At 43.3% G+C, this 26491-nt stretch overlaps 1 protein-coding gene across 8 annotated transcripts in view; it reads left to right on the top strand.

Annotated features, from left to right (window-relative positions):
- The window catches only part of NBPF4 (NBPF member 4), a 50450-nt gene extending 30712 nt beyond the window's left edge, over positions 1-19738 (top strand). For all 8 annotated transcript variants that reach the window (XM_047446894.1, XM_047446899.1, XM_047446895.1 and 5 more), the window contains 13 exons: positions 29-128; positions 1038-1252; positions 2296-2374; positions 3243-3454; positions 4864-4915; positions 5793-5932; positions 6915-6966; positions 7791-7960; positions 8991-9042; positions 9774-9946; positions 13046-13282; positions 15309-15523; positions 18456-19738. In XM_047446894.1, coding sequence (XP_047302850.1) covers positions 29-128; positions 1038-1252; positions 2296-2374; positions 3243-3454; positions 4864-4915; positions 5793-5932; positions 6915-6966; positions 7791-7960; positions 8991-9042; positions 9774-9946; positions 13046-13282; positions 15309-15523; positions 18456-18497 — 1739 coding nt within the window. In that variant the 3' untranslated portion in view covers positions 18498-19738. The remainder of the gene's footprint in view (positions 1-28; positions 129-1037; positions 1253-2295; positions 2375-3242; positions 3455-4863; positions 4916-5792; positions 5933-6914; positions 6967-7790; positions 7961-8990; positions 9043-9773; positions 9947-13045; positions 13283-15308; positions 15524-18455) is intronic.
- The last annotated feature ends 6753 nt before the right edge of the window (positions 19739-26491 follow it).

Here is a 26491-nt window from a genome sequence, read left to right as displayed (position 1 = left end):
TGAGGCAGGCGTGTCTGTCTTTTCTCAGAGTGTGAAGAGTACAAAGACATCATAGACTCTGTGCTGAGGGATGAACTGCAGTCCATGGAGAAGCTGGCAGAGAAGCTCAGGCAAGCTGAGGAGCTCAGGTGAGCGGGCCCCACTGGGGGCAGGCAGATGGGCAGGGGTGTGAATCTCTGAAGTGCAGCAACTCAGCTGGGAGAACTAAGAGCTGAGCTGGGCCAGGACAACGGCAGGCATTTACATGGCAGGCACGTGTCACACAAATATTTATAAAACAGAGAACAGTCATCTTAGTAAGTTATGGGTTGTAGTTGTTTCTTAAGCCTTGTTTTCTCTTCTTAAAACCACTGATTGTTGAGGTAAAATTTGCATAACACAAAATAAACCAAAAAAAGTGAACCACTCAGAAGCATTTAGGATACTCAGAATGGTGTGCGATCACCACCACCTTTACTCTTAGTCAGAATCACCTCTTGACTGACTGTGGCGTTTCATTTGTTCAATCAATATTGCCTTCTTAACACTGTCATTCTTTTCTTCTTTCATCTTTCCAATTCACCCCATCTGCACCTGGCCACATTTCTGTGCATGGCTTTGTATCTAGTCACTGCAAGATGCGCTATGTGAATTTTCACATAGAGATGCCCATGGCCAAAGTGAGGAACTGAAAGGACATCCTTGTGGAACTGATTTAGGAAGACACTAACTTTTGTTTACAGAAGAAAAAGATGAATGGAACATCTGCGAGGATATTACAGAAGCAGTCTCTCATATATCAGAAGGCTGTGTGTGTGTGTGTTTGTATATATATGTGTGTGTATGTTTGTATATATGTATGTGTGTGTGTGTGTGTGTGTGTATATATATATATATATATTCTTCTTTCTCTTGGCCACAGACATTTCCCCAAACATGTTCTGACCTTCTGCTTGGAGGTCTCCTTGAGGACATTCTCAGAGAAACCTCTGTTGCGGTATTAGAACTGATCACTCATCCCTTTCCATTATTAAATGTTCTCTACTATCTCACCTTAGGCAGTATAAAGCCCTGGTTCACTCTCAGGCAAAAGAGCTGACCCAGTTACGGGAGAAGTTACGGGAAGGGAGAGATGCCTCCCGCTGGCTGAACAAGCATCTGAAAACCCTCCTCACTCCTGATGACCCTGACAAGTCCCAGGGTCAGGACCTCCGAGAGCAGCTGGCTGAGGGGCACAGGCTGGCAGAGCACCTTGTTCACAAGCTGAGCCCAGGTAAGGTGGCCATGGGCCCTGATGACACACAGCTTCAGGCTTATGAAAGTCCCCAGACCTCCACACCTCCACAATGACAATTGTATGGGTAGTGTTTCTTTCCAGTAAACTTTTGTGGCCACGACATGATCAGAATTTCTTGGGTGGGAGCAGAGATGGGAAACCCATGGGGTGGAGGTTACAGAATGGCAAATGTATCCTCCTTTCTTGATGGAATGTGGTCTTTAGAGCAAGAGGCAACATCCGTCCAGTTTTAAAGAACAGGAAGGAGGCTGTGACAGGAAGCAGCTTTTAGAGTGAAAGGAGCCCTGGACTAAGAATGAATGTTCCCAGGATCTATCTTCAGCAATGTCTTTAGCAACTGTGGGCAACTGATTAATTTATCCTTCCTGGGTTTCTGTCTCTAAATCTGTAAAAGCAAACAAATTGTCTCTTGCATTCAAATGTGGGAACACTTATGACTATATTTCACAATGAGATAAAGCCCCTTGCTGTGTGGTGTTGGAGAAGGCACTTGATGTGGTGGCATTTGGTGGTAGGAAGTGGTTTAGACTGGAGCACTCCCCATGGAGAGATTGTCCCCGGTTAACACAGTGGAAGCCACTTGGAGGGCCCATGAAGTCCCTAATGTATGGAATACTGTGGGACAAGGTTGTTTGTCCTGTTCGAAGAGAAAGATATAGGTTCTAAATGCGAACTGTGACAGGATACAGAGCCTGTGCGTGGGAATCAGATCTGTGGCAGGATTGGGGAGACAGCTGCTGAAGTTCAGAGAGAGGCTGGGCAAGCCTCCAGTGATATGAAGAGGAAAAGGTCTTTTCAATATTTGGCCACATCTTGATGGTGACCCTCCAGATCAGAAACACATTGCCTCATGGATCAGGAAAACATGCCAGGGCATTTTTTTAGAGATAAAACATGAGAGCTTTCAGCACAGTGTGGACTTATACATGTAGATGTTTATGTCCCTGTGCACATAGGGCTCACTGTGCTTGCAGTGGGTGAAATGGGAAATATTTCAATGGACACATCTGTATTTGCAGAAAATGATGAAGATGAAGATGAGGATGAAGACGACAAAGACGAGGAGGTTGAGAAAGTACAGGAATCACCTGCCCCCAGGTAACATTGAATAATCAGGAGCGGGTAATGGGTGGTAAAATATGAAAAAGGTCTCAGAAAGAATAAAAGGGAGGTGAAGGTAGTCACAGATTCCAGAGGCAGGATAAAGAAAGCTGCAGAGTGCACTGATTTCATGTGCTCACCCAACAAGGAAATAGCCCCATTAACGTGCTTGTCCATTGTCTTCCTGGTGCCTGTAAGCATGACCCTAGATGAACTCACCATCCCTAGGGACTTCCTGCACACACAGAGGAGACCTGTTCTCCCCTGTAGTGAAAGCCAGGATGAGATGTAAAGCTGCTTTCTACACTGTTGTCTTTAGGTTCTTTTTAGGAAAGATAAATAGCAGAGAGGCAACAAGCAGAGGAAATAGGAAGCACCTAGCAAAGTTGAACACAAAGTACAGTACCTAGACAAAAAAATTTACATTTCATGTCACAATATTAAAATTTTAAAAAAACTAGAAGGCACACCATCTCTGAAGTCTACAATGGCTCAAATGCCTGTATAGCCATGGCCACAGTATGTTAACTACAACCCAGCTTAGACACACCATGTGGCAGCTGTTTTTGGTTCTCTGTGTGTGCTGTCAAGACTGTACCATACAGGGACAGCTGAGTCTTCCTCCTCCTCAGCTCCTATCTGCCCAGTGCAATGATCACTAGCTGCTGTCTTCCTCTCTGGTTCCCATGGCAGCCACGCTCTGTTGCAGACAGAAAAGGATTGCCTGTTCCCTCTTAAAAGGAACCTCTCCTTTGCATTCTGGGACCACTCTCTTAAGCCTCCTTTCAAAACCACCTAGGACTTCTTGGGGTGCAATGCCTTTTGGATTAATCTTCTGTCATCTCTATCCCACTGGGCTCATCAGAGAGGTGCAGAAGACTGAAGAAAAGGAAGTCCCTCAGGACTCACTGGAGGAATGTGCTGTCACTTGTTCAAATAGTCACAACCCTTCTAACTCCAACCAGCCTCACAGGAGCACCAAAATCACATTTAAGGAACACGAAGTCGACTCTGCTCTGGTTGTAGAGAGTGAACACCCTCATGATGAAGAGGAGGAAGCTCTAAACATTCCCCCAGGTAGCCTCTCTATTCTTTGTCCCTCCTAGCTCTGTCTAGGCTGAGGAAGATCAATTCTGAGGACAGACTGTATACATACATATTGGTTTGAATCACAAAGTATAGTGGAGCCGGGGGCGGTGGCTCCCACCTATAATCCCAGCACTTTGGGAGGCCCAGGCGGGTGAATCACTTGAGTTCAGGAGTTCAAGACCAGCTTGGGAAATGTGATGAAACCCGTCTTTACAAAAAACATGAAAAACTAGCCAGGCATGGTGGTGCGTGCCTGTCATCCCAACTACCCAGGCAGCAGAGGCGGGAGAATCACCTGAGCCCAGGAAGTAAAGGCTGCAGTGAGCCACAATTGCACTCCAGCCTGAGTGACAGAGTGAGGCTGTGTCTCAAAAAAAGAAAAAGAAAGAAACAGAGAGAGAGAGAGGAGAGAGAGAGAGAGAAAGAGAGGAAAGAAAGAAAAAGAAAGAAAGAAAGAAAAAGAAAGAAAGGGAGAGAAGGAAAAGAAAAGAAAGAAAGAAAGAGAGAAACTATGATAGAATATTAAACACAGTTATGTGAGGGTCAGAGAACATTCCTCTCCTCCTAGGCCCATGGCATGGACTTTGTCTTCCTGGCCCCAATATTAGCATACTGGACCACAGGCAGGTGTGACAAAGTCATAGCCACCTGTGTACAGGAGGTATCTGTCAGGCCTCCTGGCTCGGTTCCTATGTCTCTTGTCACATGCAATAATGATTTGTGTCCCTGAACAATGTCCATGGAGTTTCTATGCCTGTCACAGGCGACTGACAGTCTTGCCTATGTAATTGGAGATGTGTCTCTGGATTCACTGTTCTCGGCCCCAGGCTTGGTCTCCTTTAGGTCAGCTTGTCCCAGCTAAGCAGTCACCTTGAAAGCAGGACATAAACACTTCTACCTTTATCTTGCTTATAAGTTTCCCTAAACGAGGCTGGGCCCTGAGTTCTTCACCCCATGAGCGGTCAATGTTTCTGTGTAGCACCGCAGACTCTTTTTTATGCAAGGATTGTTAGAATTTATCCATCAGTTCAGTCTCCTATACAAATTTCTCTAACCATTCGTTGACCATGATATATGATGAGATAAATCAGTATTGCAACAACACTTCTGGAGAGTGGTTAGGGCAATTTTTGAAAATCTTGGGGAAAAAGTTTTGTTTAATTGTTTGCACAGACTTAGGTCAGAGGATAGGTGATTATGATCTACCAGATGAGGGAGATTTTGTCCTATGGGTCTGGAAAGCAGGCACATCTACTTCTGAAAATAAGTCAGAATGATCCTGTCAAAATGTCACATTCTTACACTGAGGATATTTATGTTCTTGTGCTATGACTGGACACTTATTTGCTCTTGTGTGATTTCCTTACTGTGACCTGCTCTTCTGAATTTGTTTACAGAAAATCAAAATGACCATGAGGAGGAGGAGGGGAAAGCGCCAGTGCCCCCCAGGTAACTGTGGATTTGTGGGCTGTTAGTTCAATAGTGACATCTGGACACCACGGATCAAGGGAAAATAGGAAGTGACGAATAGAACTGTCTCATCCATTCATCCAAGTGCAAATTGCCCCTTTAACAATGTTGTCTTCTTTATTGTGGTACTTGAATAGGTTTCAATTTCTTAATCCCTCTCAAGCATAGGAACCGACAATCACTTGAACCAGGTGAACTGACCAACCTCAGGGATTTCCTGATCTCACCTGTGGTCTCCCATGTGGCTAATCCAGGGTGAGATGCATATATGCTTTCTGTATGTTTTGTGACAGCATGTTGGCAAGTATTTGAATGCAATCGAGAAAATTAAAAATAAAAATTTCATATTATGTCAAAATATTGAAAAAAAAGGGGGACCTTAAAAACACAGGATCTGTGCGTTGGGAATGCCTCAAGAGCTGTGTTCACTTGGATGCTGCATGTAATGTCAACGCAATTTGTGTAAAGGAAGTGAAGTCCCAGCTTAGTTCTCAGTGCTGCAAGTCATGATGCTTGATGCTAGCTTACAGGGAGAGTCTGGGTCCTCCTGCAGCCGCTCGTTTGTGGCAAGTGCACTGAGCACCTGCTGCTCATGTTTGCTCTGTCTCCAGGACAGTCACACTCCACCCCACATTTAGAAGGATAGATTTTTCTCTCTTGGAGGAGACCCTCCTTTGCTTTCTGTGACCACACCCTTTGTGTCCTATCAAATCACCTGAGATACTATGGTGTTGAATCTGTCTTGGTCTAACCTTCTGTCGTTCTATCCTACCTGGCTCATCAGAAAGCTGCAGGATTCTGAAGAGAAGGGAGTCCTGCAGGACTTGCCAGAGAAATGTGTTTTGTCTCATTCTAGACACCATGACAAGTCCAACTCTTACCGGCATCGTGAAGTCTCTTTCTTGGCATTGGATGAACAGAAAGTTTGCTCCGCTCAGGATGTTGCCAGGGATTACTCCAATCCCAAATGGGATGAAACCTCACTTGGCTTCCTCGGTAGGCTCCCTATTGTTTGTACCCCAGATTTGTCCATAGTGACGGATGTCATACCTTCAGGAAGACTCTATGCTTATATACTGGTTAGAACCAGGCTCTAGGATTGAGTTTGAAGGAAGGCATCCTATAAGTCAGAGTTGTGCTCCATTCTAGTCCAAAACCACACATTGTCTTTCATCATTGCCCCATTGGCAGATCACTGTACCCAAGGTTGACCTGACAAATTCATACCCACCTCTGCAGCCTGGGTGCAGGGTGTATCTACCAGTCCTCCTGATTTAGATTTAATCTGTCATCTCACATGAAATCTAATTTTCCCTCCCAAACAACCTGAGTTTCTCTGCCTGTCCAAGGCCACTGGCAGCCTTATCGATATTCTTGGAGCTGTCATTTCCCTCGTTCACTTCTCTCAGGCTAGACTCCCTCCCCTTTTAGTAGGCTTGTCTTAGCTAAGAAGTCTCTGAGTACCAGAACATGAACACCACTATTAAATTTTGTATGTTTCTCTGAAAGGAGGCCGGGCCCTGGAACTCCCTGCCATATGAAAGGCCAATGTTTCCATGTAGCATTAGAGATTCTTTTGATTTAATCTGTCCCTCTAAATGCAAATTCTACAAAAACACTGACAACAGCTTATCAGAAGGAAACATGCTGAATACTGCAGTAACCTGCTAAGAAGCATTAAAGTAGATCCCCAGGATCTGTTAGTAAACAGGATATGGTTAACAGTTTGCTGTGACTCAAGACAGAAGGGACTGTGATGATGACCTGTCAGATCAGGGAGATTTGCTCCATGACTCAGGAAAGCAAACCTAGTGACTTCTCACAAGGCTCACCCTGAGACCTCCTGGAAAGTTTCTCTCACAATAGCCTGTTCTCGCACTGCGTGTATTTATGCCCCTATGTAGATTTGGACACAAGGTTGTGCATGTGTGAATGTGATCAGGTTCACCTGGCTGGTCTTCTCTTAATTTATTTACAGAAAAGCAAAGTGATCTTGAAGAGGTGAAAGGACAAGAAACAGTTGCTCCCAGGTAATTGAGAAAAATCAGGGGCTGTCTATTCAGGGGTGATATCTGTGAAACTCATCTCCACAGAAAACCAGAAAGTCCTGAATATACCTAATTCATCCCTTCAGCCAACCGGAAATGATCTTTTTTAACCATGTTTTACATTTTCATTGTGAAACTTTTAATGTTTGCATTTCTTATTAACTTCTTAAGTTCAGTACATCAAACCACTTGACCTTGTGAACAACTAATCAGTCACACAGATTTCCTTAAAGTAAGTATACTCTTCTTATGGTGTCAACCAGCCTGAGATGCATATCTGCTTTCTGCTGGTTTTGCATTAGCACAGTGGTGAGCATTTCAAGGCAAGGAAATTAGGTAGAAAAAAATTATTGTTATACCATGCACAATATTGAGAGAAAGAGGACTTGATGCCATGCGATTTCGGGGATACGATTATGCCTCAAAACCTATGTTTACTTGGCCACTACACATAAAATTTAACATCATTTAAAAGAAAGGAATGAAACCACTGTTATAGGACATGATATTCAGTAAGTCACGACTCTACCATACAGAGAGACTCAGTCTCCTTCCTCAGAAAATCATAATCTGGCTACTTTGCTGAGCACCTGATGCTTCTCTCTCTCTCATCTCTCTCTTTCCCTCTCTCTGTATTGCAACCTACCCATGGCAACCACACTGTGCCCACCAAGAAGAGGAGAATATTTAACTGTTTAATGGGTTGACCCATTTGTTTTCTGCGATCACTCCCTCATGCCTCACGTGAAATCCAGCTAGGGCTCTGAAACTCCTTGGATTAATCTTTAGTCCTTCTTACCCTACAGGCTCAGCAGGGGACCGCTGAGAGTGGACAAGCATGAAATCCCCCAGGAGTCACTGGATGGATGTTGCTTGACTCCTTCCATCCTTCCTGACCTGACTCCCTCCTACCACCCTTATTGGAGCACTTTGTACTCTTTTGAAGACAAGCAAGTCAGCTTGGCTCTTGTAGACAGTGAGTACTCCATTGTGAACATGATAAATCTCCAATTGGTGTCCCAGGTAGACTCCGTAATCCTTGCACTTCACATCCCTGGCTGGACTGAGATGTGTCATTGGTGTGGGCGTGACTCACAGACACAGGATGATTTGCATCAGCATCAAAAATCAAGTTGGAAGCACAGACAGGGGTGGGTCAGTGAGCTTTGCTCTCTTCCTCATCTCAGACCATGCCTGTGTCACCCTGCGCCCACTGTCACGACATTGACAAATTCACACCAACCTATGCAGCACGTGCCCAACAGGTGTCTGTCAGGCCTCTTAATCTGAATAAGATTTGTCTTGCCAGCTATCGTGTTCCTTACAAGTTCCTTTCCCCAACCATGTCCTGTGAGATTCTATGCCTGCCCAACGCCTGTGGCATTTTTGTCTACTTTTCATTAAAGATATTACCCAGGTTTCAAAGAACCTAGCCTCATTCTCTATGTCTTTGATGTTATCCTGTTTTAGCTGAGCAGTCCATTACCTTTTGTTATGTTTCTAGAAACAAGATTGGGCCTTGTCACTCCTAGATGTCACGAATAGCCAATGTCTCTTTGTATTGAACCAAAGATTCATTTTCATTCAAGGGTCTGTAGATTCCCTCCTACATTCTAGTTTCAGTGTCTAAAATCCTTGTAACCATGAACAACGTGAGTATTTGATGATTGAAAGCTGAATATTGCAGTTTTCCTTCTAGAAAGCAGCTGGGGTATTTGCCTTCAACTGGTGTGAAAAATTTGCATAACTGTTTGCACAAAATCAGGACAGATGATGTTGGGATAATGATCTACCAGAACAGGGAGATTGCATTCCTAGGCCCAGGGAAGAAAACCAAGGCATCTCTCTCATGACAGGACCTCAGGCCTCCTGGAATATTTCTCTCACAGTGTCCTGTTCTCCCACTGAGGAAACTGACATTTCTATGTTAGGATTGCACAGTGGATTGTTTATGTGTGTAGGAGAACCTGCTTAATCTGTCTGTCCCTTTGTGAATTTATTTACAGAAATTAAAAAGGATCAAGAGGAGATAGAAGACCAAAGCCCACCATGCCCCAGGTAACTCTGAGGAATCCTGAACAGTTAATTCAGTGTTGATATCTGGAGTCTCAGATGCAGGGAAAATCAGAGTGTGCTGAATATACCTGTTCCATCTGTTCAGCCAACCATGAAATGCCATATTCATAAGGTTGACTCTTTTCATTGTACACCTGTATTTCTAGTTCCTCCTTATTAATTCCTTTCAATTCGTCTAATCTGCATTCAGTTGACTCTGTTGAACTGATCACTCACAGACATTTTCTGCAGTCCCCTTTTCTGTCCTTTTTGCTTAAAGTGAAGTTGAGTTGCACATCTGATGTCTGCCTCTTTGGCATTACCATGTTTGCAAGTATTCGATAGCAGGGAAGTGAATGAAAATAAATCATGCCATGCTACAATGTTGAGAACAAGAGCTGTTGAGGATACAGGAACTCTGTGAAGACTCAAGAGCCTGTATTCATTTGGCCACTGACGCTAATTTCAACAAAATGGATGCAAAAGTGCCGAATGCACTGTGTCCTGGCAGTTCCCCGCAGGGATCACTCCATCTGCTTCCTCCCCAGCTCATTGCCTGCCCAGTGCACTGAGAGCCTGTCGTGCTCTGTCTCCTACTCGAGACAGGGAAGGATGGTTGTATCTCTCTCAGGGGAATGTACTTTGCTTCCTCTGGGCCTTCCTAAGGGCCTCCCTATAGAACCAGCTGGGTGTTGGTTCTCTCTGGTGTTTATCTTCTGTCTTCTTTACCCCAGGCTCAGCCAGGAGCTGCCAGAGGTGAAGGAGCAGGAAGTCCCAGAGGACTCTGTGAATGAAGTTTACTTGACTCCCTCAGTTCACCATGACGTGTCTGACTGCCACCAGCCTTATAGCAGCACCTTGTCCTCATTGGAGGATCAGCTTGCCTGCTCTGCTCTGGATGTAGCCTGTGAGTACTTCACCCTGGAGATCACAAAGCTCCACTGTCCTCCCAGGCAGCCTCTGTATGTTTTGTTTCCTGCAACTTGTGCAGCTGAGACAGACCATCTCTGCAGCAGGCTCTATACACTGAGCTTGTTTTGAATCTGGCTCTTGGATCCAGTTTTAAGCACAGACATCCACTGGGTAGAACTTCCTCTTCTCCTGTTCCAAGTGCCTCCTCTGTCACCTGGCTCCTTCTCACAGGAGCAGGCTTTGGCTATCAAAACAGGCCAGAGAAGGGAGTGGTGAGGGCTTATGGCAAATTCCTGGCCACAGTAGCTCAGCTGGAGAAATTTATGTAACAGCCCTCCTTCTTTAAGATAGGGCATCTCTCTTTTCTGAAATTATCTTGCTAATTCCATGTCTTTATCTCTTCTCTGGCCATCCACATATGTTGGGAGTTTTGCCCAATTATTTGGAGGCCTGTTTCATGATTCCTGTGTCCCAAGCTAGATTCTCTTCTTCAGGGATCCCCAGCCCTGGGGCCATGGGCCATTATGGGTCCATGACCTGTTAGGAACTGGGCCGCAGAGCAGGAGGTGAGCGGTGGGAGAGCATTTCAGCCTGGATCCCACCTCCTGTCAGATCAGCAGTGGCATTAGATTCTCACAGGAGCTCGAACTCTATTGTGAATTGTGCATGCCAGCAATCTAGATTGTGTTTTCCTTACGAGAATCTAATGCCTGATGATCTGTCACTGTCTCCCAGTAACTGTCACCCCCAGGTGAGACCATCTAGTTGCAAGAAAACAATCTTAGGGCTCCCACTGATTCTGCATTATGGTGAGTTGTATAATTATTTCATTATATATTCCAATATAATGTTTATAGAAATGAAGTGCACAGTAAATGGAATGTGCTTGAATCATCCCAAAACCATCCCCCCCAACCTGGTGCCTGAAAAATGGTCTTCCATGAAACCAGTCCCGGGTGCCAAAAAGATTTGGGACTGCGGCTCTACTTCCTCTGAGGTGTCTTCCCTCCACTGACGCAGTCCAGCGACCCTTCCTTTATGTGTGGCCGGGCTTGCATCCTCTGCAGAGCTCCAGTGGTTTTCTCCATGTGTGGGTTTGTAGTGTCAATCAAGTTTTGGTCTCAGTGCTCTATTCTCATGAAAACCATCGACAACTAGTGTCCCTCATGAGGCTCTGGCCTAACCGATGAGCAAAGCAGAGTGGTTCCTGTCCCCATGAGGTCCAGAAAACCCTTCCTCTGAGCAATCGCCCCTTGAGATAGCAGCTTCACAGGATGTGTAAAAAGAAAATCCAATTTTCATTTCTTCTTGCTCATTCTCTTTTTTTTTTACTTCAATTCTGGGAATTTCATGTGGATTGTTGGGGGTTTTACCCATTACATTATCTTCTAGTAAGAGCAAGGAACTCTGTGATGTCCCCCAGTATATTGGATTATGTTGTAACGAGATTAGCAAAAATGCCAGGTGTGTTGATTCATGCCTGTAATTCCAGCACTTTGGGAGGCTAAGGAGGTGGATCGCATGAGCTCAGGAGTTTGAGACCAGTGTGGGTAACATGGTGAAACCGTATCTGTAAAAAAAAATTAGCAGAGTATGGGGGTACACACCTGTAGTCCCAGCTTTTTGGGAGGCTGAGGTGGAAGGATCACCTGAGCCTGGTTAGTTGAGGCTGCAGTGAGCCATGATTGCACCACTGCACTCCAGCCTGAGCAACAAAGTGAGACCCTGTGTCACACACACACAAAGAAAGAAACTAGCAACAAAAATGTTGGCCTCTATTCTATTTTGGTAAGTGCCTTTCATACTGGGACCAGCCCCTTTCCCATTTTGCATTTCTCCCTGAGTTTCAAAAAAGCAAATGCTTTTCTAGCATCACAGTGATTCATGAAACAATTAGGATACACACTGACCTTGCAAGTGCCTTTCATACTGGGACCAGCCCCTTTCCCATTTTGCATTTCTCCCTGAGTTTCAAAAAAGCAAATGCTTTTCTAGCATCACAGTGATTCATGAAACAATTAGAATACACACTGACCTTGCACCTGCTGTATGCCCTGCCCCTTTGCAAGCAAGCTCTGTCCTGCTATAAACCATTCAGGGATCAAGGGACACGCCCAAGTGGGCAGTGGCATCTCCATGTTGGAGCTGAGAACAATGAGGCATTTTTAAGAAAACTTAGAAAACCTTGGAGAGAATGAAGATGTGGAGAGGGGAGGAGAGAGAGGAGCCCCACAGCAACGTGGATCCAGTCTGCAGGCCCCGTCCCCATCTTGAGACCGACCTGGACTGGCGTGAGGTCATTGGAAGTCTTTTCTTAGTCCACTCAGAACGTGTATTCCTCTCCCTGTGGAAATGGAAACAATTTGTTTAAGGGGTGCCACCCGAACCCCACTGGAGGAGTGGGTAATGTGAGGATCGTGTCCTGTGTTGCCTTCCTAAGGAACCGCACATGCTGATCTGTAGCACTTGTGGCCCCTGAATTTGCAGGAAGGGACTGGTCCCTCTCCTACATTGCCTATGTCTGCTGACACCCACTATATGGCAAGAGGATGGATATGTGTGGGTAGGGGGTCAAACCATTATAGTCAATGGGAAATTCAAAATGTCCCCGAACCCAGAAAAGTTTGCCTCACTTAGCGTTTGGTCTGTAGCATCCCAGCCCCCTTTTTCGTGGTTCTTTCTCAAAGCCTCGCAGCTCTAACCCTTGACCCGTTCTTACACCCCTGTGTGTGGAGAAAAATAACCATTCCTCTCCTGTGCTCTGAGGCCTCTCTAGAACTTTCCCTCTGGGCACAGGAAAGAGATGAATAGTAACAGAATAATCGGGATGGTCTTGTTAGACAATCCAAAGCCCTCTGGGCTGAAGCAGAGGTTTTTCACCTCAGGGACACCCCAGCCTGGGCCCCTACCGTGTCAGCGTCCCCAGGCACAGGCAGGAGAGGTGACGTCACCTGCATTTACATGATGTCTGTCTGTGTGGCGTGGGTCACTGGGTGGCTTTACTGAGAGCAGGGACATCAGGGATGGGTGTTCTGGGATGACTTAACAAAGGGAAAACTGAGATTGTTCCTACTGAAGCCCCTTCTCCTTTCAGCCCCCACCGAGGCGGCCTGTCCCCAAGGGACTTGGAGTGGAGACTTGAGCCACCACCAGTCAGAGGTGCAAGTTTCACAGGCACAGCTGGAACCAAGCACCCTGGTGCCCAGTTGTCTGCGACTACAGCTGGATCAAGGGTTCCACTGTGGGAACGGCTTGGCCCAGCGGGGCCTTTCCTCCACCACCTGCAGCTTCTCAGCCAATGCTGATTCTGGGAACCAATGGCCCTTCCAAGGTAGGGAAGGAAACGGCGTCATGAAGCTCTAATCCAGGTGTTGGTGGTCACGACGGTGCTGTGGGTGGAGGAGAGAATGGGGCCTCCCATGCTTCCTCAGGGTCAAGTTGAAATCCATGATGCTCCAACCCAGTGAGGTGAGCAAAGGCCTGGAGCTTAGGACCGAATCTGCTCTCAGGACCTGGGTTTGCCACTTTCTGCTTGTTGACTTTGGCCAAGGTTTTTGTCTTTTTGCTCTTTATATCTCTGTTCCCTCATCTAAGATACCTGAAGAATAATATCTACCTGCAATCATAATTTCCAAAGGGCCTGATTCCATAAGAATTGCCCAATAAACCTATGAGTAGGTGTTATCTAATCCTTTTATCTTTCTGCTAAATTTACACTTAGCAAGTGACTTCACGGACGATGTCTCCTCTGAGGTAGAGCAGTTATGAAGATCTCTGCTTTCTAGGACCCCTCTTCCTTTCCTTTCTCACACAGACTCCTCTGCCAGTTTTCTTCCTCTCCTTCTCCATCCCTCATGAAGCCAATTTTCCCCTGTCAGGCACTTTCAATAACAACCTATGAGGCACATTGAGTAACAGTGTAAATCCTGGGCCCACACTCAGTCTCCTGACATGTCCAGCTGCTTCTGCTGTTTTTTCTGCTTTTTTTTGAAATAAAAGGGCAACTTTCACATGGAAAGTGTTCACATCAGTCTCTTTTATGAAATTCCATTTAGTTCACATTCTCCACTCATGTCCGTGGCCATGTCCTCGGTTTCTGTCTCACAGGGATCCATTTCTGCTCAGATTACCTTAAAATCCTGGGTCGTGTTCATTCTCACTCTCCATCCCACTCAATATCTCCTCCTGGAGCCCCTGGGGCTGCCTGGTGCTCATCTGTCAGGCGATGCCCTCAGCTGAGGAATGAGGGAACCCCTGTCCTCAGGGGGAGGGAGGGTTGCGTGAGATAATGAGCACCATCTGGGCCAGTGGAGAGGACACATGGAAGGTGCTCCGGGAGTGTCGGGGGATGTGCAGTCCCTGACACGTGCCATGATAACTTATTTAGACTGATTTCTTAGCACTGAACTCTCTTTTGCTTCTCTGTGGATTCTCACACCCCCAGCCAAGACTCACCCCACTGGCTCAGACACACTCCCTCTTGCTCACTTTCCCTGGAGTCCAGAGCCTGAACCAGGCTCCAGGTAAGAGGACAGAGTGAACGCCTTTCGTTTCATTAACACTTTCCTTCACCTGGTGATTTCTCCCTGCTGTCTACCAGGTCATTTGTTTCTCCCATACCTATTCTTTCTCATTCTTCTCATGTCTCCAATTATTTTTCCAATTTCGATGGACCAGAATAGTGACTCTACTCTTACATTCAATCCCTCCCAAATCCCTATATTTTTTTTCTTTAAATTAATGTGTACAGATACATGCATTTGTATCATTTGTCCTATTACGTGTGACTATGTATATCTGGTGTGTATGCTATATAGGGTGTATATATATATGCAGTAGATCATATAATGATGCAACTTTTGTAAATTCTCTAGGTTTAGTCTTCCTGGTTCTTTCCTCTCATCAGTTGCTGTCACCTATGTCTGGTCTCACCTCTGTGCCACATGGGCTGCCACCCTGCCAGGCCCTTCCATTCCCATCTCCTGTTTGAACCCAGTTCTTATTTAACTTTGATTTTTGTAATCTCTTCTCTCCCCAAAGCATAGCCTACATACAGTGTTATTTCCTTGCCTTTGCCTTATCTACCTGGAAGCTATTTGTGTTTCTGAATCCTATGTTTCTGGAATATTTTTGTGACTTGGCAGTGCCTTTGGATCCTGGCAATCTTGTCGTTACTGAGTAATGTAGGAAAGATCAACAAAAAAGAAAGTATTAAAGTGACTCTATCGGCTTCCCCTCACCCTTTGGACTTTCTTGTCCAAGGCTCTTTCCTGATTTGATGTCCTCTGGGTGGAAGAGAAAGTTACGGTAAGATCATGGATGGCAGCGGATCCCATTGGCTGTGGTTTTCTTTTCAGAGCTGGTTTTAGAGCCCTCTCTGGGGATGAAGAACCCTCCCCAGCTGGAAGATGATGCACTTGAAGGCTCAGCAAGCAACACACAAGGGCGTCAAGTCACTGGCCGGATTCGTGCCTCCCTTGTCCTGATACTGAAGACCATCAGAAGAAGACTCCCGTTCAGCAAGTGGAGACTGGCATTCAGATTCGCTGGCCCGCATGCTGAGAGCGCAGAGGTAATCACATCTATGGCTGATAGCTGCACTCACTTCTTATTTCTCCGTCTATGGTGACAGCTCATTCTCTCACTGCTTTTTCTCTCCCATTTGTTCTCTCCAACAGCTGCTCTAACCTCTGTCTGGTCTTAGCTCTGTGTCCCATGGGCTCCCACCCTGACTGGCCCTTTCTCTACCCATCTCCTCTTTACTCTCTGAACTCTGCTCTATTCCTTTTTCTGCTGTCTTGAGAGTCCCTCTCATGGCCACAGGAGAGCCAGGCCTCCTTGTCCCCATCCAAGTACATAGTTTAAGCTGCTGAACACAGGGTTGTTTGCCCGGAATCACACACTCCTTTGGGAAATTTACCTTTCCTTGCTGCATCCCCAACTCCATTGCCTCTTTCTGCAGAAGTCATTGCTTTAATACATCATTTACATGAAGATTTTCCTCTTGAGTCTTCTTTTGAGCAACACAACTAATTCAACTCTTAATCATCACTTGTTCCTCTGAATGAGAAGTGTTAAAACTAAGCACTAAGAGCCCCTCTAGGAAACTAAACTAGAACCAGGGTCACAGGTGGGAGTTCCCTACTGGCCTGGAGTCAGGTTTGTCTTTAGCCCCAGATGTGCAGCTTAGTGCCAACGTGGATGGAGTTGCCAGGGTCTCAGTGTTCTCACCTCATGGACTCACTTGAGCTGATGTTAACTGGGGAACATTTATGACATTCTAAAGGGACATCACTCCAAAAGTACATGCAGAGGGCAGGACTTGAAAACTGCATACATCATGAGGTACGTCATTCTAACCTCTCTCCTTTTTATTCTCATTTCCACTTTTCAAGTCCAGTTAAGGGTCTGAAATGCAAGTCAGATGAATCTTGAGGCCATTGTATATGAGAGAGCATTTTATGAATTAACTTTGAGAAAAGTGACTCCAGGACCAGCTTTATGCATACACTAGATGACAGGAATCTGTCTACAGGACAGTCTTTGCTTCGGTGCAGCCCAATTGATAAGACAGAGATTTAACTGAAATTGTCAGAGAGAAGGCTAAAATCCATGGAACCACTGGGAACAAAGCCAGTCATGAGATAAACGGGGAAAGGAAAGAAAATGATGGGAAATTGGGCTGGTCCATTTAGTATCTCTAAATCCTGCTGCCATGTAATAAGCACCCGGTGAGATTTCAATTAAGATGAATGCCTTCAACTTACACTTAGAGATGCTCACTTACATGGCCTGGGGTGTGGTCTGAGCATCTGTAGTTTCAAAATGCTCCCATGTGATTCTAATATGTGGCTAAAGACGAGAAGGACCCCTGGTCTACTATGACCTCAGGTTACCAACATGGAAGTGCCACATATGTGTGGCTACTCCACAGAAAAGGCTGAGCCTCTATCAGACTTTGATGGGATCTGTATTCCCCTCTCAATAGTACTCTTCGTATAGCATAGAAAAAAATCAAGAAGAAAAACAAGAAAATTAATAGATTAGACTTTTAGCCTCTGCTTGAAGCACACTTGCTGAATTTTGAATACAAGATAAGTAAGAAATAGTCATGATATTAACACCTAATGTACGGAAATAATACCTGCCATATTACATATAGTGGAATTCAGTATTTTCTTTTGCATTTTAAAATAAAACTTCCAGTTTACATTTCCCCACACCCATTTTATAGCCCACCAATGGTCTCACCACTGCAATGTGAAAATTTTACTTTTGGTCAATTATTGTCCTTCTGCAAAATCCCCAAAGAGAACTCATTGGTCCCCCTGTCCTGAAGAGCATACAATAACAAATTAAGACTGAAATGCTGCACGAGATTGTATATGAATACTTCTTCATGCCTCTCTTCACACTGGCATAAAATATTAAAAAGAAACCTTTCTCATAATGTACTTGGGGAAAACAATAAGCGGGACGGGAGACTGTAGTAAAACACAAACTAATCCTTTTCACTTTGTACTTCAGAGTTTTCTTGGTCTAGATATTGAGAATATTTCTAGAAATGCCTTAAGGTGGAACCGGATGTGGAATCAACTTCAGGGCATTAGGGAAAATAAGTTGGGCCATGGTTACAGTCCCTTTTCTCACTTTGCTAACTCCATTTTGAGTCTCTTTTTTTAAACTCCCTTTCTTTCCTGATGACCTTTGGACAAAAACTTATAATTATATATATTTTTTATTTTTTTTAACCAACCAAAGAAACAGCAGCACCATCATATTTATCTGTAAAACCTTATTCCTGTCCTAGCCAAGGTGACCCAACCACCACTCATGACTGTTGAGACCTCCAGATTGGAGCCTTTCCTCTCGCTTTCTCCAATCTTTATTGAAAGGCCTTAGTGGGTGGATTCTAATTCCTGGGTTGTCAATAGCAAGTCATGTGGCCTTAGTTCCATCTTACCCCTGTGGCATCACTACTCCTCTGTTGTAAAATGTGGACCTGGACGTGGATGTTGTCTGAGGTTTCTGCTGCTTCTCATATCCAGGGTTCTTCCCATGGCCCTCCCGCTCCTCCCTAGAAGACTAGGACATGGAGTTGTAAGGGGGTGGGTTTCTCTGCAGAGGCTCCTGTCCTTCTGCTCCCCTCTGTTTCTTGGCATGCATGATTGATGCTGAGTACATGCTCACTGGGAGGAAAAGCCCTCACTCTGCTCCAGACAGAGGGGATCAGGAGGAAAGGGGATGATGTTGCCCACTGCTGGTTGGGCATAGGTGGGGTCCTTATATCCTGCACCCCAGGCTGACTGGAAGTTCAGGAGTGTTTTCTTCTCACTTGTGGATGGTGCTTCCCCCTTCTGACAGCCCAGGACTCACCCTTCAGCTCATCCTCCCAGCAGGAGATCCCAGTGAGATATCACTGCTTAGCAATCCCTCCAGACTCAGCCATCAGGTGGACCTGACAAAAATGCTCATTTGATTTTTTTTCTCTCTCTCCCCTACAGATACCAAATACTGCTGGAAGGACGCAAAGGATGGCAGGATGAAAGAATGTCACAAAAAGCAGCTTTTCCACTTGATAAAAACAACTAAAACAGCAAAGCAAGTTTAAGTCCAAACACAATACTGCAGGGGTCCTTCACTGAGGATTGAATTTCAGACACAGAATACTCTTGATGACTTCAAGCCACTATGCTCCTTTGATTTGAGAAGCCACATTCCATCCCCCTCCAATTGTGATCAATACCTAGGGAGACCAATGCCCAGATGGACAAATAGCATTGACCGGCGTTAGCCCTGTTTCTCAATTCCCATCGTGTAGAGAACAGGAGTCCGCAGCTGCTGGCAGGAGACAGCATGTCAGCCGGGACTCTGCCAGGGCAGAGTATGAGCAATGCCATGTTCTTGCTGAAAACGCTTAGCCTGAGTTTCATAGGCGGTAACCCTCAGATAACTGCAGAATGTAGAACATTGAACAGGACAACTGACCTGTCTCCTTCAAACAGTCCATGTCACCACCAAGAACACAACAAAAAGGAGAAGAGACATTTTGAGTTCAAAAAGAGTAAAAAGCCTATGCAGCTTATGCTTTTTTAGTCATTTTGAACCCAAAACATCTCCTCATCTTTTTGTTGTTGTCATTGATGGTGGTGACATGGACTTGTTTGTGGAGGACAGGTCAGCTGTCTGGCTCAATGGTCTACATTCTGAAGTTATCTGAAAATGTCGTCATGATTAAATTCAGCCTAAACATTTTGCCAGGAACTCTGCAGAGTCCATGCTGTGAGCTTCCTACCTCAGCCCATCTGCAGGCAGAGAAGGCCCAGTGTGTCCATCCCCAGTGCGGTGATACTAGGATGGTCACTTGGTTAAGGAGGGGTCTAGGAGCTCTGTCCCTTGTAAAGACATCTTATTTGTAAGTAATTTGGAAAGTGGTTTGAAATAGTATAAATATCCTGTATTCTAGTGATCTTCTTCAGAACATTTTATCACCAATTAATCACCCCGTCTGTGTCAGTTATTATATTTAAGTTTGTACATTGAAAATTGTCTATCTCAAAATCTTACCTTATACTTGCTTTTGCTGGCATTCTTTGTAAAAAAGATCATTCCCTGCCCAAATTTTAACTTTCATCCAAAATTAATTTTAATTTCTTTTTGCTGGCATTCTGTTGTGAAAAAGAATATTCTCTGCCCCAATTATAACTTTCATCCAAAATTAATTTTAGTCCATCAGTTAAAATTTTAAATTTTAAATCTGTTTAATTAAAACATTTCTTGCCTCTCACTCTGGACTATTGGATTTTTTACATATAATGTTTTAAGCTTTTATTATTATGATTGATTTTGGCGGATAAGAATTTAGATTAATAAAAACATTCTTATTTCCTTGTTTATGTTCAAAACTCTTCCATGTTCTAGTCTACGTTTACCGTATGTGGTAGATTGTATTTCCTGTATTTCTTTGTTGATGTTATTTGTTTTCTTTTTGTGTTTGTGTAAGTGTGCGTGCTTTTTGTTTGTTATTTAGGAAGAGTTGTATAGCTCCCATTTAACATTGCACTGAAAAGGTTTTAACGTCACTAATCCCCTTTTAACTTGACACATTTCCACTGTTTGGTTTATACATTTTAAATTATTTCTTTGAATGTCAAATTTTTACCACTATGACAATCAAAGACATCATTTTCCTCTTCTCTAACCTCATTACCTACCATTTCTTATTTTTTATTTTAACCCAAACATAAAGTGACAGCCTATGTGACACCTTGGTTTTTGGTTGAGATCTACATTTAAATATGTTGATGCACATGAGCTGTTCAAAAGTGTGTCCTAAGCATCACTTGTTGAGTGGAATTTATCCTTAACAGAGTCCTCATGAGGGAATCAGGTCTCGCTGAGTTTTACCTACTTAATCATAAACTTTTCCCAATGTCCTGATACATGGATTGCATCACTGGATATAAGGTACTTGCCAAAAATGACTTTTGCTTGGGATTTTAGGAAATATTGTCTGGCTTTGGGGGACAGGCCTGTGTGCTCTCAGTCTGGGGTTCTATTTTGTTCAACCAGGACCTTTAATTTCTGCCAGTTACTTCATTCATTCTCTTCACCACAAGTCTCCAGAGGATGCTCCCTTTGTCCAGGCCTCCCCGTCTCCCAGCGATTCTGCCCTTTGAAGATTGGCCCCTCTGGTCCTCTGCACTGTGAAGCCCCTGCCTTTCAATTCCCCAGTAGCAGGGTTCTGACCCACCAGGTCTCAGGCCTGATCTGTGTTTCTCCACACTCGCTTTCTGAGAAAGGTTTTACCTGTGTTTTGTCATTAACAGGCCCTCGCTGCTGTGCTGGCCTCTATTTGCATGGTGTTTCCTGCTCCCTGTGCTGTTATGTGGCTCCCAGACCTGGCTAAATAAAATCACTTGGGGTCCCCAGTGTTCCCTAGCCCTGGTTGGGGGCAGGATTATGGGTGGTATTTTGGACTCTGTGTTAATCCCTAGGGCTTTGAAGTGTATGTGGAGAAATTCAGCTATTATTCTAACCTACTTCTTTAAATGCAGAACCTCAGCAGTATAAAAAAGGAGACAGAACCCTATACTAGAACATCCTCATAATCACTGGCCAGCTTCAACAATTATCATCGAATGGCTGAGCTTTACAAAATCCAATCCTTCCTACCTACCTATGAAGTGTGTGTGTGTGTCTATATGTATATATTAATATATATGTATGTATATGTATATGGCATATATGTGTGTGTGTATATACGCACAGTTTAGACATGAGATTCTGGAGGCTGAAATTCCCAAGATGGAAAGGGGGATACCCAGGAAAGTATTTCCTTCTTATTAGGCCTTTTACTTCTCCTCTGGCCTTTGGTTGATTGGTTGGGGCCCACTCACCTTAGGGAGGGCAATCTGCTTCACGTAGACTGCCTATTCCTGTGTTAATGTCATCCAGAACCCACCTCCAGTACAAACACAGAATAACATAGGAACGAATGTCCTGGCACCCTGGGGCTCAGTCACAGTGACACACAACCATCACACAAGTTCTTTGTCATATTACTGATTTCCACATTCTTCTCTCAATCTGTAGGATGTCTTTTTATTCTATGAATAGTGTCCTGTGCTGACCAAGAATTTTTAATTTGTATAAAGTTGAATTTACCAATGTTTTCTTTAATAGTTTTGTTGATGTGATAACTAAGAATACTTAGCTTAACTCCACATCATGAAGATTTTCTCTTATGCTTTCTACTGTAAGTTCTCTAGTTTTGCAGTTTACATTTAGTTCTGTAATTAATTTTGATTTAATTGTTGTGCATGTATGGAGGTTTAAGTGGATTTTTAAAATCGTTGTTTAGTTTTTTCCTTCAACTTTTAAGTTCAGGGGTACATGTGGAGGATGTGCAGGTGTGTTACATAGATGAACATGTGCCATGTGGTTTGCTGCACAGATCATCTCATCACTTAAGTGTTAAGCCCAACATCTATTAGCTACTATTCCCAATGCTCTCCCTCCCCCCTCCCCCATCCCTCACTTCTGACAGGCTGGGGCCAGTGTGTGTTGTTCCTCCCATGTGTCCATGTGATATCATCATTCAGCTACCACTTATAAGTGAGAACATGTGGTGTTCGGTTTTCTGTTCCTGCATTAGTTTGCTGAGGATAATGGCTTCTAACTTCAACTGTGTCCCTGCAAAAGACATGATCTCGTTCCTTTTTATGGCTGCATAGTATTCCATGATGTATATGTACCACATTTTCTTTATCCAGTCTATCATTGATGGGCAATGAAAACCATAAACCCCAAATATCCCAGAAAAATAGTGTATCCTAAGGACAAGAAACATGAAGAAAACTACACCAAGGAACACCATACTCAAATTGATCAAAACCAGTGATGAACAGAAAATCCTAAGAGGAATAAAAGGAGAAAAAACACATTACACACAGAGGAGTAAATGTAAGGATGACATTCAATTTCTTATCAGAACCATTACAAACTAGAAGTTTGCAATAGTTTTTAAATACTGAAAAAAAGCACAAGCAATCAAAACTGACATCTGAATAGACTTCTAAAACTAAAGAGATTGAATTAGCAATCAAAAAAACTACATGCCAACAAAAGCCTGGGCCCAGACGGATTCACTGCTAAATCCTACCAAATATCTAAAGAAGAGTTGATAACAACTTTTCACAAACTCTTCCAAAAATACAGGAGAGAACACTTCCCAGCTTATTCTACGAGGCCAGTATTACTCCAACACTGAAACCAAAGACATCACAAGAAAACTACAAATGAGTATCGTCTTTAAATACGGACACAAAATCCTCAACAAAATATTAGCAAACTGAATCCGGTAACATCTGCAAAAATTATACATCATGACCAAGTGGGATTTATCCCAGGGATAGAAGGTTAGTTTAACATCTGAAAACCAATTAAGGTAGCATCAGTAGAAAATAAACCAAAACTAATGTGATAATCTCAATAGACATGGGAAAGGCATATGGCAAAATTCAGTATTCTTTCAACAAACAAGGAATAGAAGGGAACTTCCTCAACCTGATAGAGGACATCTGTGAGAAAACTTCAGCTAACATCATGTTTAGTGGTGACAGACTGAATGCTTTCACCTTTAGATTAGGAATAATACAAAGATGTCCACTCTCACCACTTGTATTCAATGTTGTACTGGAGATAGTAGCCAGGACAATTAGGTAAGAGAATGAAATAAAAGGTATCCAGATTGGAACAGAATAAGTTAAACTACCTTTATTTGCAGATGTTATGTTCTTATATGTAGAAAACCTCAAGGAACGTACTAAAATACTACTAGAATTAATAAATTCATCAGGGTTACAGGACATGAGGTCAGTACTTAACAATAAATTGTGTTTCAGATTTTCAGATTAGGGATACTCAACTTATACACTTAAGTCTCTGGACAGTGAAATCATGAGTATTTTTTCTTCTGTGATCTCCTACATTTTCTATATGGTAAATACGTGCCAGTTTCATAATCAGAAATGAAATTACAAAGATCATTTAAAAACAGCAAAAGAAATTGGTATGAAGGAGATAAATTTAAGGTCGCTGAAAAAATCATTCTACTATAACCCAGTTAGCTAATGTAGTTTCTTTGTTTTTAAGATTAATTGCTTAGACAGCATGTAATCAGAATAAAACAGGTGTATTTTAATCTATTTTTAAAATTTAGTAATTTTATAATAGTTGATTTTCTTAGTCACCACTACTTTCATAAATAACCTTTGTTCTTCAAGGTGGAGCATGGTTAATATTTCCATGCAAGCAAAATGTTGTTTATAATGCTGTTCATTGATGCATCCTGTCGGGTCGCAAAAGGCTACCTGGAATTTGTGAAAGATGTTTGGTGGGTAGCAGGAAGTTGTGAGGTTTAACAAATAAATTTGGCTAAATAAAATTCTGATGGGTGCACATAGTAGCCAGTACTCCAATTCATTCATGTGCATTCTGGATTACTGCAGCCACGTCATAATTAGGGTGGTAATGACTTAATAAACCAAATAATTGAATGGGCTGGTGGCTCACACCTGTAATCCCAGCATTTTGGGAAGCCAAGGCGGGCGGATCACTTCAGGACAGGAGCTCGAGACCAGCCTGGCCAACATAGTGAAACCCAGTCTCTACTAAAAATACAAAAATTAACTGGGCGCGGTGACGCATACCTGTAATTCCCACTACTTAGGAGGCTGAGGCATGAGAATCACTTGAGTCCAGGAGGCAGAGGTGGCAATGTGCCAAGATTGCTCCATCGCACTCCAGCCTGGGCGACAGAGCAAGATTCTGTCTTGAAAAAAATAATACTGATAATCCAAATCGTTTTTCAGATTCAGCGATACAAATGAAGAACGATGGTCTTCATTTCTGTACTTCTATTTTTGGTAGCACTGTTATTGTTTTTAGACCAATATACCTTTTTTTAAATTAAAAAAGATCGTTTTAGAGTCGGTGTCTCACTCTGTCACCCAGCCTGGAATGCAGAGATGTGATCGTGACTCACTGCAGCCTCAAACTCCTGGGCTCAAATGATCCTGTCACCTCAGCCTCCTGAGTAGCTGGGACTACCAGGCATATGCCACCAAATCTGGCCAGCTTATGCTTATTTTTAAACATTTTTTCTTAAGAGAAGACATAATGACATTTAGTGTGATAGTATATTCTAAACAATTTATGATGATGATTTTTGATCCTCAAACACATGTTATTACTTCCAGTATAATTCTTCTGTCTGCAGAAGAGTGAGGACAAAAGATATTGCTCTCTTCCACCAATAATAGTATTCTTGAGTTAATGGAGTGCTTTAGAGTGTAGTGTGTGTATCTCATGATTCTTTCAATATTCTTTGGAGGATGGCAGAGCAGGCATTATGAATTTGGACTTGTACATAAGGAAACTGGAACTTAGAGATTTTCAGTTAATTTGCTAGAAGATGAAGATGTCTAAGAGAAGGAAATGTGAACTAAGATGATATTTAGAAAGGACAAGGTGGTTGGAACCAGACAAACAGGGATATGAGTCATGATTCTGTCATTTGGGAAAGTCACTCAATCTCACTGATAATCACTTTTCACATACGTAAAAAAAGGTATTAAGTCCAACTTTGAGGAAATGTTATAAGACTTAAATAAGAATAATACATGTTAAGCATCTAGAATTTAGGATGTTTCTTTAACAGCTATCTCCGTTCATTTCTCTTAAATATCTTCATGTTTAGGAGACAGTTGTAGCTGAATATTTTAAGTCTGGAAACAAGCATGACTGGCAGATGCAATTATAGACAATTTTAACTGTGATTCCCCGGGTCACTTTGAATTTCTTCTGTGGGATAAATTCTTCCCTTGCTCTAGATGAAAGGGCAACTCCTATAACTTACCACTTCCAGTTAATGAAAGCTTCTTCCAAAAAGGAATTCATATGTTAGACCCAGGGTGGTCATCAAACCTTTAACCTCAATTTCAAGCTAAAACTTCTCCCTGCACTCAGGCCAGCTCAGACCAAAAGCCTGCAGTGGAGAAAGTGGATGTGTTTGCCTTTTTCTTTTTTCTCCGTCTAGGATTCTTCCTTCTCTAGCTCGCTAACCACATCAGAGTCACAATAGGATAGCGAGGAGAGGAAGCGGGCAGTTAGCAGGTTCTTACTTGACACTAATATAGTTGTGAGTAGCCCTATGTTCTCTGCCCTGAGAGCTTTTAAAGCCCTCTCTTTCTCTTATGGGTCTGTTTTGTGAGTTATGTGGAGACTCCCTACCCCACCTGTTACTATGGATCTCTCATGTAGTTGCTTAGTGGGGATCATGTACTCTCCCCCTGGCTGGTCACTTACGTCTCCTTTTTCAGGTGCTAGACATCTGATGGTGCCTCAACATTTTTTCCCCTGCTGAAATCTGTATTTCTTCCAGAAATCCCTTTCAGAAAAAAATCTAAGACAACCCCACCCTGGCTGTCTTGCACAGCTCGCATCTGGTACAGGAGAAAAATTCACATATTCTTTGTTTCAACAAACTCTGAGCAAGTAACTTGCCCAAGGCAGCAGCTTCTCTTTCACTTTATTGTGAGAACTGTTAGCTGACATTTCTTAATTATATTTGCTGTGTCCTCAAAACCCATGATACTTGCATCAAACTTTGTGTCTGTCATGAAGAGGGGATAAGAAATGTGGTATATACATGCAATAGAATATGATTGCGCTTTTAAAAAGAAAGGAATTCTGACATGTTACAAATGAATGAAACTTGAGGACATTATGCTAAATAAAATATGCCTGTCACAAAAGGACCAATGTATGATTTACTTATATGAGGTACTTAGAGTAGTGAAATTCATAAATAGAGTAGAATGGTGGTTGCCAGGGGCTTCCAGGAGGGAGGAATAAGAAGTTACTCTTAATGGGTACAAAGTTTCCATTTTGTAAGATGAAGAGTTCTGGAGTTTGGTTGCACTAGTTTGAATGTACTTTATGCCACTGAACTGTACACTTAAAAACGGTTAAGACG

This window comes from Homo sapiens, chromosome 1 (genome assembly GCF_000001405.40).
Source record: "Homo sapiens chromosome 1, GRCh38.p14 Primary Assembly".
Taxonomy (NCBI): domain Eukaryota; kingdom Metazoa; phylum Chordata; class Mammalia; order Primates; family Hominidae; genus Homo; species Homo sapiens.
The sequence above is the reverse complement of the archived record's forward strand: the minus strand, read 5'-3'. Positions and strand labels throughout refer to the sequence as shown.